This window comes from Homo sapiens, chromosome 2 (genome assembly GCF_000001405.40).
Source record: "Homo sapiens chromosome 2, GRCh38.p14 Primary Assembly".
In the NCBI taxonomy this organism is placed as follows: Eukaryota; Metazoa; Chordata; class Mammalia; order Primates; family Hominidae; genus Homo; species Homo sapiens.
In genome coordinates this window covers 65,910,985-65,926,358 of record NC_000002.12, presented here as the reverse complement: position 1 = coordinate 65,926,358, position 15,374 = coordinate 65,910,985, and the positions used below count along the sequence as shown (strand labels likewise).

At 40.9% G+C, this 15,374-nt stretch overlaps 1 long non-coding RNA gene across 2 annotated transcripts in view; it reads right to left on the bottom strand.

Annotated features, from left to right (window-relative positions):
- The window catches only part of LINC02934 (long intergenic non-protein coding RNA 2934), a 298,411-nt gene that overhangs the window by 162,127 nt on the left and 120,910 nt on the right, over positions 1-15,374 (bottom strand). Inside the window, exon 2 of one of the 2 annotated variants that reach the window (NR_187140.1) lies at positions 4,290-4,421. The exons of the other annotated variant lie outside the window; for it this stretch is intronic. This is a non-coding gene — a long non-coding RNA (long intergenic non-protein coding RNA 2934). The remainder of the gene's footprint in view (positions 1-4,289; positions 4,422-15,374) is intronic. 2 annotated transcript variants of the gene reach the window in all.

Below are 15,374 nucleotides of genomic sequence, written 5' to 3'. Positions count from 1 at the left end.
GACGTATCTCAAAATAATAAGAGCTATCTATGACAAACCCACAGCCAATATCATACTGAATGGGCAAAAACTGGAAGCATTCCCTTTGAAAATTGGCACAAGACAGGGATGCCCTCTCTCACCACTCCTATTCGACATCGTGTTGGAAGTTCTGGCCAGGGCAATTAGGCAGGAGAAGGAAATAAAGGGTATTCAATTAGGACAAGAGGAGGTCAATTTGTCCCTGTTTGCAGATGACATGATTGTATATCTAGAAAACCCCATTGTCTCAGCCCAAAATCTCCTTAAGCTGATAAGCAACTTCAGCAAAGTCTCAGGATACAAAATCAATGTACAAAAATCACAAGCATTCTTACACACCAATAACAGACAAACAGAGAGCCAAATCATGAGTGAACTCTCATTCACAATTGCTTCAAAGAGAATAAAATACCTAGGAATCCAACTTTCAAGGGACGTGAAGGACCTCTTCAAGGAAAACTACAAACCACTGCTCAATGAAATAAAAGAGGATATGAACAAATGGAACAACATTCCATGCTCATGGGTAGGAAGAATCAATATCATGAAAATGGCCATACTGCCCAAAGCAATTTATAGATTCAATGCCATCCCCATCAAGCTACCAATGACTTTCTTCACAGAATTGGAAAAAACTACTTTAAAGTTCATATGCAACCAAAAAAGAGCGTGCATTGCCAATCCTAAGCCAAAAGAACAAAGCTGGAGGCATCATGCTACCTGACTTCAAACTATACTACGAGACTACAGTAACCCAAAACAGCATGGTACTGGTACCAAAACAGAGATATAGACCAATGGAACAGAACAGAGCCCTCAGAAATAATGCCACATGTCTACAACTATCTGATCTTGGACAAACCTGAGAAAAACAAGCAATGGGGAAAGGATTCCCTGTTTAATACATGGTGCTGGGAAAACTGGATAGCCATATGTAGAAAGCTGAAACTGGATCCCTTCCTTACACCTTATACAAAAATTAATTCAAGATGGATTAAAGACTTACATGTTAGACCTAAAACCATAAAAACCCTAGAAGAAAACCTAGGCATCACCATTCAGGACATAGGCATGGGCAAGGACTTCATGTCTAAAACACCAAAAGCAATGGCAACAAAAGACAAAATTGACAAATGGGATCTAATTAAACTAAAGAGCTTCTGCACAGCAAAAGAAACTACCATCAGAGTGAACAGGCAACCTACAAAATGGGAGAAAATTTTTGCAATCTACTCATCTGACAAAGGGCTAATATCCAGAATCTACAATGAACTCAAACAAATTTACAAGAAAAAAACAAACAACCCCATCAAAAAGTGGGCAAAGGACATGAACAGACACTTCTCAAAAGAAGACATTTATGCAGCCAAAAAACACAGAAAAAATGCTCACCATCACTGGCCATCAGAGAAATGCAAATCAAAACCACAATGAGATACCATCTCACACCAGTTAGAATGGCAATCATTAAAAAGTCAGGAAACAACAGGTGCTGGAGAGGATATGGAGAAATAGGAACACTTTTACACTGTTGTTGGGACTGTAAACTAGTTCAACCCTTGTGGAAGTCGGTGTGGTGATTCCTCAGGGATCTGGAACTGGAAATACCATTTGACCCAGCCATCCCATTACTGGGTATATACCCAAAGGACTATAAATCATGCTGCTATAAAGACACATGCACATGTATGTTTATTGCGGCACTATTCACAATAGCAAAGACTTGGAACCAACCCAAATGTCCATCAATGATAGACTGGATTAAGAAAATGTGGCACATATACACCATGGAATACTATGCAGCCATAAAAAATGATGAGTTCATGTCCTTTGTAGGGACATGGATGAAATTGGAAATCATCATTGTCAGTAAACTATAGCAAGAACAAAAAACCAAACACCACATATTCTCACTCATAGGTGGGAATTGAACAATGAGAACACATAGACACAGGAAGGGGAACATCACACTCTGGGGACTGTTGTGGGGTGGGGGGAGGGGGGAGGGATAGCTTTAGGAGATATACCTAATGCTAAATGATGAGTTAATGGGTGCAGCACACCAGCATGGCACATGTATACATGTGTAACTAACCTGCACATTGTGCACATGTACCCTAAAGCTTAAAGTATAATAATAATAAAATAAAAAATAAAAAATAAAAAAAAAGATTAAGTCCTGGAACTTTGATAATAAGCTATCTTGAGAGATATCGGAGATGTCAGGAAACAAGGACGACTATATTGAGTAAGCCTGAATTATAGAAAAGAAATGTTTAGAAATCTTTTCTCCAAGAGAATTCCCTGGAACTTAAAACCTACACCAACATACGGCAATCTTTCCACCTTTTATTTATGCTTCCCAAGGATACAGTCTTTGCTAAGGACTCATTTCTGAGCATCTAAGAAGCCAGACTTCGTGAGCCCACTAGCCTCTGAGTTCCTCAAAGGCACAGGCTACATTTCTGTCAACTTTGTGTATCAGCACCCAGTACATAATAGGTCTTCCTAGATGCCTATTGTTGGAATGGCTTCCCAGCCCTTCTGTCCACCATATAATGAGGCATTCAATTCCCCAGTGCACACCTCTGCCTTTTACATGAGATTAGGCAGTGCTCAGTAAGCCGTCACTAATATCATTTACATTGATCTGGTGGCAATGAGTGAGATAGTTATCAAGTGTCATAGCACAAGGACACACTTACAGGAACGAGCAGCAGTCTTGGAGCAATGTTGCTGCAGCTATATTCAATATTTTTGTAGCATGGTACTAGAGGCCACCTACTATATACCATCCACCCATTCATTCAACAAATACATATTGGATACTTATATATGCCAGGCACAGGTATTGGCATAAGAAATACAACCCATCCACGGTCTTCCTGAAATGGTCAAACAGCCAGTCCTAATTTTGGACCAATCAGTAAATAAACATTGATCCAAAAAGCAGCCAGCATGTGTTAGAATATAACCTAAGCAGTTTTAGGAAATTGATGCAATAGATGCTAACTATGCCCTCAAGAATCTAACAGACTAAAGGAGTAGTTGTCACTACAAACAGCAAAGGAAAGTTGGGAAAACTTAACAGAATGAAGACATATCCAACAAGAAGAAAAGTCATTAAATGTCTTGGTGTACAGAGGAGGAAAAATTCTGTCCAGCCTCATGTGGCCTGTTAGATCTGGGGCTTTGGCAGAGTTGGTTCTCTGAAGACAAAGATCAGTAGGGTCAGCCCTGATCAGAAATGTGAGGAAAGGAAAGAGGAACTAGCCTTGATAAAACAGTACGGCAGGCTTTTACAGCCGTGACTTCCTATAATTCTCGTAGCAGCTATTTGTCATGAACTTTTGTCATTATGCCAGGTTGCTCAATACCCAAGCCTTGTAAAGAAACTTGGCTGGGCACAGTGGCTCTCTCCTGTCCTGTAATCCCAACACTTTAGGAGGCCAAGGCTGGCAGGTCGCTTGAGTCCAGGGGTTTAAGACCAGCCTGGGCAACACAGTGAAACCCCATCTCTACAAAAATTATCCAGGCATGGTGGTATGCACCTCTAATTCCAGCTACTTGGGAGGCTGAGGTGGGAGGATTGCTTATGCCCAGGAAGCACAGGCTACAGTGAGCCATGATTGCACCAGGTATTCCAACCTGGGCAACAGAGTGAGACTCTGCTTCAACAACAACAAAAAAGGAACTCTCTACCTTCTGACCAACAGGATATGCAGCCCCAGGCAAGCTTTGAATAAGGAGCAAGTAACACCAAGAGGAATGACCTATGAGCCATGTGTATCTTTGGGGGTGCATGGAGAGGTAAAATGCAGGTCCTAGCTGCATTTTAGCTGAGGTTCTGGCTGCTCAGCTCCTCTTGGTCTCTGCCCATTTTGCAAGCCTGGTTCCAGCCTTCTCCTCAGTTCTGTGAATTACCTGATACGCCTCCAATGAAGCACTTTTCTGCTTAAGTTAACCAGAGTCATTTCAGCTGCTTACTACCAAGAATGTTGACTAAAACACTGCAGTATAGACACTATTCACTGAGTTCTACAGATAAGGAAACCAAGACTCTGGGAAGCTAAGTACACGGCTGGTGAGTGACACAGGTGTGGTTTAAGCTCACGCCTTCTGACCTCGATCAAACCCAGAGATGCTTCCCCTAGTGCTATGTTAGTCAGGGCAGCTTTGGTTGCAAAATGACAGAAAAAATAGCAACTGAAACTGGAGTAGAAAAAAAAATAGAAAAAATGATCTTAGTAGAAATATAGAAAGCACACCTGGCTTTATTCCCCAAGGGCTGCTGAGTCCATCCAGCTACATATCCCTGGTGTGTGTTCTCACCTACGTGGACTTCATTCCCAGGACACCCTTCCAGCAGGGTGGTCCTCTCCAGGCTGAAACTCTCACAACTGCAAGCACAGGAGAAAAGGGACAGTTATTTTCCTTGTAAGTTTGAATGAAAGTCTTAGGCTTGACGCTCCCTGAACCATCTCAGTGGCCAGGGATAGGATGTATTACTGGCCAACCTGACTCATATGTGCCCTTCCAAAGTCAGTGGTTGACTCAACACCACTCAAACTTTATAGGCTGAAGTTGTTGGAACAGTGGTTCCAAAGAGAAGAATCAGATTACCTTTACCAGAAGAAAGGTGAATGGATATTGGGTGGCAAAAACAACAGATACCCCCCAGAGTCTACCCCTTCTGCAGTATGGGTGGCACTCGTCTTTCCAGCTTTTATCTGCACTGCAGTAGAGCCTTTCTCCAAAACTGAATCCCACCAGCCACAAGATCTATCTTCCTCCCAAAAAAATTTCTTTCCAATTCTTTTGCACATACTATACATGCTAGAGACTTAAATGACTCCATCCATGGGCCTTTGCATTTTGAATAAAAGCAGAAAATATTTCTGGGAGCTATTGTGAAAGCTATATGTTAAGGGAGGAAATTTGGACATGGAGTACTGATTGGCTCATTGTGGCTTTTCCCTAAAATCCTATCACAGGGTCAGCCAGCTACTCTGGGGTATGAGTCAGTAGGGGCTTTGTGACAGGCAAGACCTTGGCCCTGAGATGCCAGAGCAGAGGGTAAAGTGCCACATCAGGTCCAAGGGGGAGTGCTATGGGTCAGAGCCAGAAAATCATGCCCAAGCAATTTAGAGAGAAAGAAAGCCTTGAAGCTGGAGCTTGAAGCTAAGGGATTAGAAGTATCTAGAGAAGATGAGATCAAGGAGCACAGAAAGGGGCAGAGTCTAAGTTGAAGCTGGAAACACCATGTGGATTGAGCAGAAATGGTTGTGCTCCTTGTAGCGTGCAGTGGGGTGGGCCAGCGCTACTTAAGGGGCTGGATTGAGCAGAACCTTGACCTCCATGGAAGGCCAGCTCCGTGGCCTTGCCCACTTTGCTCTTTGTTCTCCCCGCTCCCACTCTAAAGTTTTTCTTAGAACTGAGCCCGCACTCTGAGGCTGATCTTAAGTTGAAATTGCAAAACTTCAATATTTACTAAACACCAACAGCTAAGCCCTAGGCTAGGTGATATCCAGTACACAGCTGAAGAGGACGCAATTTTCACCCTGGCAAAATTTACTGAGAGTGGGAGAAGCAACTGAGGTTTTTTTAATGATGATAAAAATATTAGTTCTATAATAGAGGTTTATACAAAGTTACCATAGGAACTCAGAAAAGGAGCAATTAACCTGAGTGCTCCTTAAGGTTGTGGGAGGGAACAGTGGGTAATAAAAGTAGAAGGGAAAGTTGGACCTGATTCTCAATGGAATGGCATAAGTTGAGAAAGGAGAATCAATAGGAATTAAGAGTTGGATCAAAAAACACTCCACACCATGACCTTCAGTTCCTCCCTAGAGTAGGAGCCATCTGCAGTGTATGCCTGGAACCTGGAATGGGGCCTTCTACCTAGAGGGGACTCAGTAAATGTTTGTGAATTAAACAAACAAACTCTGCTCTGCCTTTGGAACAGAATGTAGACCTCCAACATCATGGGACACTGCTTCCTAAAATATTATTACAGTCTTTAATTTCCTAGAGAGTCTTTATGACTCTCTAGGAAGTTTAATTAATAATTGCCATGGGAAGACCAAGCAAAGTGATAATTAATAGCTATTGGCCAGAGCTATTGCTGAATTAAGAGTCCAATTATGAAACGAACAAAGCACACCCAAAAGGAGCAAGAATTCCAGGAGCAATGAAAGGCCATGGGGATGCTGCGGGATCTTCTTAATCTGAGCAGCAGTTGGGTGAGGTGTGCTTCAAATAGGAAGAATGGAGAAATGACAAACTTGAGTGTTTGTCAGGAAATGACTCCTGCACCATACTCTGCACTTCCAAACATTGCCTCTAGGTTCTGTGTCCTCCTAACCAACACCGCAGAGTGAAATAAAAATAGAAGAAAAGGAGCAAAGACTAGGCCACCTTATCCAGGCAGCCAAAGGCCCAAGATGCCTCCAGCAGCCCCTCCCAGTGCCTCTGAGGTCAATAAAACCTCATGACTTGATGACTCTTTGAGTCCTCCTTCAAAAGGCAGCACAATCACGTTGCCAGAAAGATGGTGACTAAAGGAGTGTTTGTTTATGTCAAACCTCAAAAACCCTTGGGGTTTGAATGGCTGGGTGATTGACGGTTCCCTCTGTCCCTGCGGTGAACCGGTATATTTGCCCTATCCTTCCCATCAGGGGCCCTCCTGTCCTATCCTTTTCATGCTCTCTTACTCTCCAGTTCCAGCTGGCTTCTCCTCACAAACCATCTCTTCCCCACAATGTAAGTCTTCCATTTTCAGTCTGTGGAAATTCATTTCACCTAAACCCTTCACATAGCTGATGTTTATACTTTCTTTTCTGAAAGAGCCTTCTATGAAATAGGATCCTTAGAATTAAGTACTTAAGAGTCTCTAAACTTGAATCGTTTAGGCTGTAGGTTAAATACAATTTAAATACAAAGGTTCAGATCTTTTTAAAGGAGAAAGGTGTAATTTATAAAACCTTGTACTAAAGAAGGAATAGAGAAAAGTTGGCATACAAATCCTTTAAACACTGCAAATAATAAACCAGGGGGAAAATGGCAGAAGAGAAGAAAGGGGATTTTTTCAATGCCAACGATTTCTATAGCTTGAGAAGTGCTTTATTCAAGCACCAGTTGAGATAATTCTGTTTTGAAACTAGCTCCTTTAAGAAAACTCTTCTTTTTCTGCTCCTAGGAAATGCTGACATGCCGAGAAGTACATGATGTAAAGGTGACATTCTGTGGCAGAGCCAAGGAATTGCAATGCTTTGATCTAAACATCCTGAGCTCTCACCTACCCTTCCTGTTCCAAGCTTCACAAACTTGTAAACTGGAGGGTCAAGGTTAACCTAATAAACTATTTGTGAACTTCAACTGGTGTTTGCCTGTAAGCCTATCTGGTTTCTTTGTAGGTTAAGGTCCGGGAGGTTACACCAGTGGTTCATTTCTCCCTCATCAGAGGCAGTTTACATAGCAGAAAGAGAGGAAGGATTGCCCTCAGAAGACTAAGGTTCAAGTCCTCGTTCTGGTGTCCCTCACTGCTCTCTTGCCCTCTCTGAGTCTCTCTTTTCTCATTTGTAAGCGATGATTGCTTGGGCCGCTGCCTCTAGCCCTTGGAGAGGCAGGCATATGTTGGGGTCAGGGGTATGATGCAGTATAAATGCTCCACCAAGACAGAATATCTCCACTTCTGATTGGAAAAGCACCTCTTTTCAGGCAGAGAACTCAGCTCACTTGCAGTATCCATACCTGCCCAGTAGATTCCATAGCTCCTTCTCTTTGTGCCCTTTCACAGGGCCCTCCAATCTCACTGCCTCCATCACAGACTTGAGTTTCTGGTAATGTCTTAGGCACATCATAAAAATAATCTCTTCCTCTATAGGAGGCATGTTGCAAATTCAGTATCTAGTTCATCTCGCAGGGCATCGGTTTTCAGGATCAGTATATTAACATGTCAATGGATGTCATAGAATCGCACATGGAACTTGAATCCAGATTCCTGAATTTAGGAGACTGATGTTCCACCAAATTTATATTCCAAGCTTCAGGGTAACATTCACATAATCTGATCCTTTTCATTTCAGAGGCCGGGAATGACTCAAGGTCTCACTTGGCTAAGTATTTTCCAGAGTGTGGAGGCTTGCTTACATCTCCAGCTAGTTTTATTATGACAGGCAGAAGTTTCATTTTCCAGATGTTCTGTGGGAGCTTAGGATTTTTATTTTTCTCTAAAGCAAAAACCAAAACCATGAATAGACTGAAACTCTAAATTGATTAACTCCCAACACTACCTGGATCAAATTCATCTTTGTATTGCTATTGCTGTCTTCTCTCCTAGTCTGCTCTTTTACTTTTACTGGATTTCTACCTCCCCGTCTATAAGATAAGAGATAGAAAAAAGCAAAATAAGGTGTAGACTTATATCAAAACCTATGACAACTTTGGCCCTTTTTGTTTCTCTTACCAAAACAAAAACATAAATGCATATTTGGGGAAGTGGAGACAGAGTAATGCATTGGTTACTGCCTGCACTGAAATACAAATAAAATGAGAATGAGTATTTCACTAACGATAGATGATGAACTAAGGCCTGAAGTGGAGAAAGGTGATAGAATGCGAAGACTGGTAAGAACTATGCTGACTTTATTTTCATCAGTTTTCATGAATACGTAATTTTTGGAGTTGTCAGTTGTTTTGAGAGATTTTCTCCCTTTCTTCATTAAACGCCAAAAAAAAAAAAAAATGCCCTCAAGGGTAGGCAACCAAGTACTCTGATAACACACAAACAGAAGCAGCCCTGTAGGGCTGTGAAAGACTGGATGTTTTTGGAACAGATTTTTCTAACACTGGGATATATTTTTCCAAGTGAGTATAGCTGGTATCTGCTTAAAGGAGAATGAGACACAAGCATCCGATTAGAATCCACTTTGTAGGAATCTGATATTGGAGAGAAGGCTGGCTGAGGACAGGCCCGCCAGCTCCTGGCTCTGACGCTGTACATTCCCATACCCACACCCACACCCACAAGCCCTCCAGACAGGTTGCATCCTTGTCTCTGGTGAAAACCAAAAGTCTAATTTTTATGCACATCCTGCCAGAGCTTCCTCGCTGCAACAAAGGTATGCCTTAAAAGGTTTTACTGAAGAGCTTTGCTATTTATTAAAGGCCAGAAGGAACTGCTCTCACTAAGCACAAAGTTCAAATGTCTTTGGACAGGTCATTTAGACAGGTCATTTAGATAGGTCATAGGGTGTCTCACAACTTCTGTCCCAACTACTCAACTCTGCTATTGTAGGGCACAAGTAGCTACATGTCAACAAATGAGCATGGCTGCGTGCCAATAAAACTTTATTTACAAAAACAGGCAGAAGGCTGGATTGGCCTAGGGGCCACAGTTTGCCAAGCCCTTCATCATCAATAACAAGGCTTCTCTAGATGAGAAAGGAGTTTGTATTAAATCAGGATTTCTATTGAGGCCACTTATTTAACATTTAGTGCTTCATAGATTCTTCAGATTCATAGAGCCTCTTTCCTCCATTAGAAATGCTGCAGCTATAGATAACAAAAAACCAACTAAGCTGACTTCCACAAATGTCAATTTATTATTTCATATAACAAGGAGTGCAGTTAGGTGGTTCCTGCTACTGTTTTGTTTGCCCTCCCTTGCTGCTTTCTTGGGCCCGGGGTTCTTTCCTTCCCCTGCTAGAACTGTGGCAAATGGATGGCCATTCATTATTGGCAAAAAAAGATGAAAATTTACCTCTGTAGCCTCTAGAGTAGAGAAGAACAATGGGAAGAAGTATTGGGAATGGAAACCAAGACAGCCAAACTACACCCCTCTGTAGCACATTGGAGACAGGACACTGTGTTGATGGTAGGAAATAAATGCACCCTAGGACTGATATTCAGGCACATGCTAAACACAGAGCTATAATAGCAATTTTTGATGAGAAGGTATTGCACAATGCCTCTGTTAGGAAAAACCTTAATGACAATTGTACAGGTGCTTCTTATGGACTTCATTAGTATTGGTGTTTTATTCATATCAATAATGATCAAGTGCCTATTAATCAAATGTTCCTATTGCCAAAATATGTGACTTTCCCCTTGGTCCAAGGAAAGCATAAAAGAAAGATTTTTTTTTTTTTTTTGAGATAGAGTTTTGCTGTTGTTGCCCAGGCTGGAGTGCAATGGCTTGATCTTGGCTCACCGCAACCTCCGCCTCCCGGGTTTAAGCGATTCTCCTGCCTCAGCCTCCCAAGTAGCTGGGATTACAGGCATGTGTCACCACGCCCAGCTAATTTTGTATTTCTCGTAGAGACTGGGTTTCTCCATGTTGGTCAGGCTGGTCTCGAACTCCTGACCTCAGGTGATCCGCCCGCCTCGGCCCCCCAAAGTGCTGGGATTACAGGCATGAGCCACCGTGCCCAGCAAAAGAAAGATTTTGCTGTCTGTGACACACATACACACACACACACATTATATATTATATAATGTGTTATATATTATATATGCATACATATAAGATATCTTATGTATAAATATATGATATATAATATAGATATCATATATATGTATAAAAGGTAGCTAACATAATTAGCACTCTGCTGTCACGAAATGCAGCTCACCATAGCAAGGCAAAGGTAAAACATATCATATAGCTGAGATTCTGGGGAGGGAGTATTTTTGATAACTAGAATGCAGTTGTTCCAATATTAGCATAATATCAGGGTTAACTTACTGAATACATTTTTGACAAGAGGCAGCCTTGCCATTTTAATAGCCACAAGTAGCTGGCACTTTGGTTTTCAGCACTGTCCTGAAAATAGTATGACACATGCCTTCAAAACATGATCTCATAGTTTAACTCATTCAAATTCCCAGACATTGCTTTTCTGTGAACATTCTACTAGCTCGGGTTCAGAGGCAACTCTCAGAACACTGCAGTTGTTCTTTTCTTAGGTTTTGCCCTGTAGGGAAAAACAGGCTGGTTAAATTACGAAGAAGGTTATTTCCTGGACGAGAGATGGAAAAGGAGATGGCCAACCATACAACTATGTACACATGTATGTGAAATGCCACCATGTCTGAGCTGCATCTTTATTTTCAAGGCAATGAAAATACACCTATGATCATGAAAGTGTTACAATTATAACCACATATAAATATAACCACTATAAAATATAACCACAATTATCTAAAGCCTGTTTTCAATAATGCCTTTTCCTTTCAAAGCAAGCTCATTCTGATCATATTTGATCTGTGTGGTAAGTGTGTGGAGCACGTAGGGCCTATCTGTTTATATCAAAAGGGAATTCTACATAGAAAAGGTAAATGATTTGCCTGAGACCTCACAGGTTCCTCCCATGTCCTTGAGTCCTACTCCAATAGATCTCCTTATTTTCTTGCAAATATTGACAACTGATTCATGTCATTTTTGAGATCATTTTGCTTCTCCATGCCAATTTGTTACTGCTTTGCATAGCTTTTTGAAACATTTATTAAGTACTGACCTTGTAATTTGCCACCTAAGCACCTGTTTTCCTTTCTATTCTGTACATGAATGTGAGCCTGAACGGGTTCTACAAGCTCTAAAATATGCTGGTTGGGTCAGCCTGACAATAACGCGCTGTCACTTACATATACACAAAAAAAAGTTGAGTTTTTCCACTCTTTGGGTTCCAAATCCCCCAGACTAGGTGAACTTTCTCCTTTTTCCTTTTCTGGCAGTTAGGGATGAAGTTTCATGTCTCCGTGCCACACCTCGGTGGAGAAATACAAAGGAGGAGAAATCCCAAATAGGTAGTAAGAATAGGCAAGCCAGGTTTCAGAGGCCAAGCCACACCTCAGAGACAAGCTAAGCTGAGCCCATTCGTGATGTCTTCATGGGAAACACAAGAATGGCTTGGGAGGAGCCACCCCTCCCAGGCTGCAGCCCTGCTCCTGGGCCTCCTCCTGCCAAGCCTGCCTTCTAGCTGGACGCCCTGCTTGGTGAATCCTATCCCCTTCCTTTTGTTTTATGTTCATCCATCCAGCCCAATAAAGCCTACTTTTTGCATATTAAAACAGTATTTGTTTAAGGACAAACAGTTGGAGACCTGCTTCTCAGGGGCCAGAGTGACAGATCGCAAGAGGGGGCTCATCGGCCTTGGGGGCTGGTGATTTGGCAGGTCCCCATCTCTGAGGAGAGAGCGCATGAGCTGCTCACTGTCAGGATTCCAAAAGGCATTACCCTGAGCTCCAAGGTGGAGCTGTTTACCAATACCGTGATCTCTCCCCAGATGCCGTTGCTACTGCAGCTAATTAAGAGAACAATTAAGACTAAGGCAATCAGTCAAGTACACAGACCTCAGTCATCTTCCCGCTCTCGGATGCTGCACTGCTCCCAGAGGGCTGAACTGTATTCAGTCATTCAGAAAATGACAGGAAGAAGCTATTAAATATCTGAAAACCATAAAAACGCAATCATACTGTTCTTTAGCTGAGCCATCCGCCAGAGACCAATGCCCAGCAACTTTAGAAACTTAGCAAGCCTCTTGAATTCACACACTCACAAATAAGAAGATTAATCAAAAGCAGCTCAAATCAAAATTGAATTATAAGGTGGAGCTAGGAGATGTTGCACTGGTCATTCTCAATTTTTTTGTGTTTGTTTATGACTGATCAATACCTCTCATATCAGCCAAATGCATGGCAACGTCCATGGGGTGTCTTTAGAAAGGAAGTAACAGATTAAATATTGAGCTAAACAATTTAATCTTCTGGAAGGATTTTCAGATATTCATAAAGGTAAATCCTATTAGGGGAAACAGTGTCCATGTGCTGGATTACAGAGTCTCGTTGGGAGAAGTTCATAAAAGCAGATAACAAACCACTGAAACAAAACTTCTCTTAATAGCATAGCAAATGAAGACCAGAAAATAAAATGTCCTCAGAAAGAAAATCATAAATGTGTATGTTAATTATCTTACATTTCATTTAGTAAACATATTGCAAAATACTCAAGATTCTCCTATCAAGTGCTGGCTTTACATCTGCGTAAGCAGTTATTCTCTTTGAACCCTCTCACAACAGAAATGGAATTTTCTGGTGACCTGGAGCTAAGAAGTGAGGCTGAACATCTTAGAAAAAAAGCACCATAAACAGTGTTACCAAAAAGGTTTTTATTAAACATCTACTGTATGCCCTGCAAGGGATACTAAAACAATAAGTAGAAAGTATTGACATATAGAGCATGGACTGTGGAGTCAGACCTGGGTTCCAATTTCAACTCACCACAGGCTAGCTGTATGACTTTGGGCAAGTGACTAAACTGCTACTTGTGTGTCCTCATCTGTAAATGGAGCTTATACTCTTCCTAGCTTAGGGAGCTGTTTAAGGTTTAAATGAGCTAATGTTTGTAAAGTTCTTAGAACAGGGCTCAACACACAATAAGTACTCAATAAAGCAATGATGATGATGATGATAATTTCAAATAGCTGCCATTTATAAATGACCTGACCTGTCATAATGTCCTTATGTGATCTTCCTGAGTACTCATTGCAACTATACAGTGAATATTATTATCATTATAGTCACTTTACAGATGAAAAATCAGACATTATGAGGCAAGGCCACTTACGGCAGTGCCTGGAAATACCAAGGGCCCCAGGCTTGAATTCACAAAGGGCCTCCATTTTAGACCTTTGTTTTCATCTCTAAATGAGATGACACCTCACAGACAGAAACCAAGACCATTAAAAGTAAACAGCTTAACCTTTGTCTCTGGTTAAAGTCTAGGACACATCTTTTCATATACTATGAATTAACATTTTTTTCTAAAATTTAAAATTATCTTGTGAATAGCAGAATCACAATACATTGTACCATGTATATTTAAAATATACCATAATTTTTCACCAATTTTGGCATTCTTGAGATTTTTTTTAATATATCAAAAGCCTCAAAAACAAAAAAAAGAAGTATCCTGAGTCTCTATCTACCTGATTTCAAGTTACCAAGTAGATGTCACCGAACATAGAGTTGGGAAGAGATGTGCAATAGACAATATGATATAGTGCCTTCACCATAGAAACATGGTCATTGCAATTAAACTCAAAATCATCTTGTAGTAAAATGTGGTAAGTTAATTAGGAAGCAATGAGCTTGAGGTATTCATTACCTTTGTTTTTAATATAATTTAATTATAAGTTTATATAATTTAATTTTTGATAATGCCTGTGTTTAACAACCACCTTGTAAAATTTCTCACAATCTAACAATGGGCTCCCATGAGCCAAAAGGGGACAGCTCTAGCACATCATTTACTCCACATGATTCTCCATGAATGCAAACATGAACCTTTCAGCAAGTGTATATATCGATAGAGTGACACTTAGAGCGAGGTGCTTCTGAATAGGCACATGTTTTCATAAACGTAGTCCAGTTGCATTTATTTATATATCTAAGAATAAGTGCCTAATACCTAATCCAGGTAGGTTGTCTATGAACATCGTTTTCTCAACCTCCCCAACATGTTAGTCCATGTGCACCAATCTTGTACTGTCAACTACAGATCTTCGTTGTGAGGAGCCTGGAATAAAATGTGCCCACATTCTTATACAGCTGATGAAATAGTTGGGCTTCCCTTTGTTAGTTCTTGCCAGGCCCAACCCAATGTCATAGATAAGCTGGTGACTTGTAGATGGCCATTTGTAAGCTACTTCCTCCTCATTTGGTAAAACAGATCAGAATGCTCCCCAACGTTATTTGTAAAGTCTGCCCAATGTTCAGAAATTGAATGGCCAACATGCACTCAGATCAGGGATTATTTTTAACATTACTGTCTGCTCACAGGTACACACACATGTATATACACTCACTCTAAAGAAAGCTAATGTTTTAAGCTAAATATGGTACCACTCTTCTGAAATGTATAAGACCTGCAGAGCAATATACTGTAGTCATTTCCTGATATAGAATGAGAGCCAAAAAATACATTCTTCTAAGAACTAAATTCTGTGCCTGCCTGCATTCCCACTATGATACTTTAGTGCACCCATGTTACCATTAAAAATTTTTAAACTACCACCTCAAATATCCTTATAGCCAAACTACTACTATTGAAAAGAAATGTGTTCAATTATTATTGCTTTTCCCTCCCTCAGAGATGAGAAGCCAACTGATCCAAAATCAATGGCTCAGATCTCCACTGTGGCAAGCAGAAGCAAGTTCAAAGCCTTTTCATTTATACTCCAAATTTTAGAAATGTCCACAGTGGACAAAACTGTAGGAATTCAGAAGGCAATAGTTGTTAGGCTCTGCATTTTCCCTGACTAATTCAAAATGATTTTATAATGAATTTTTCCAGG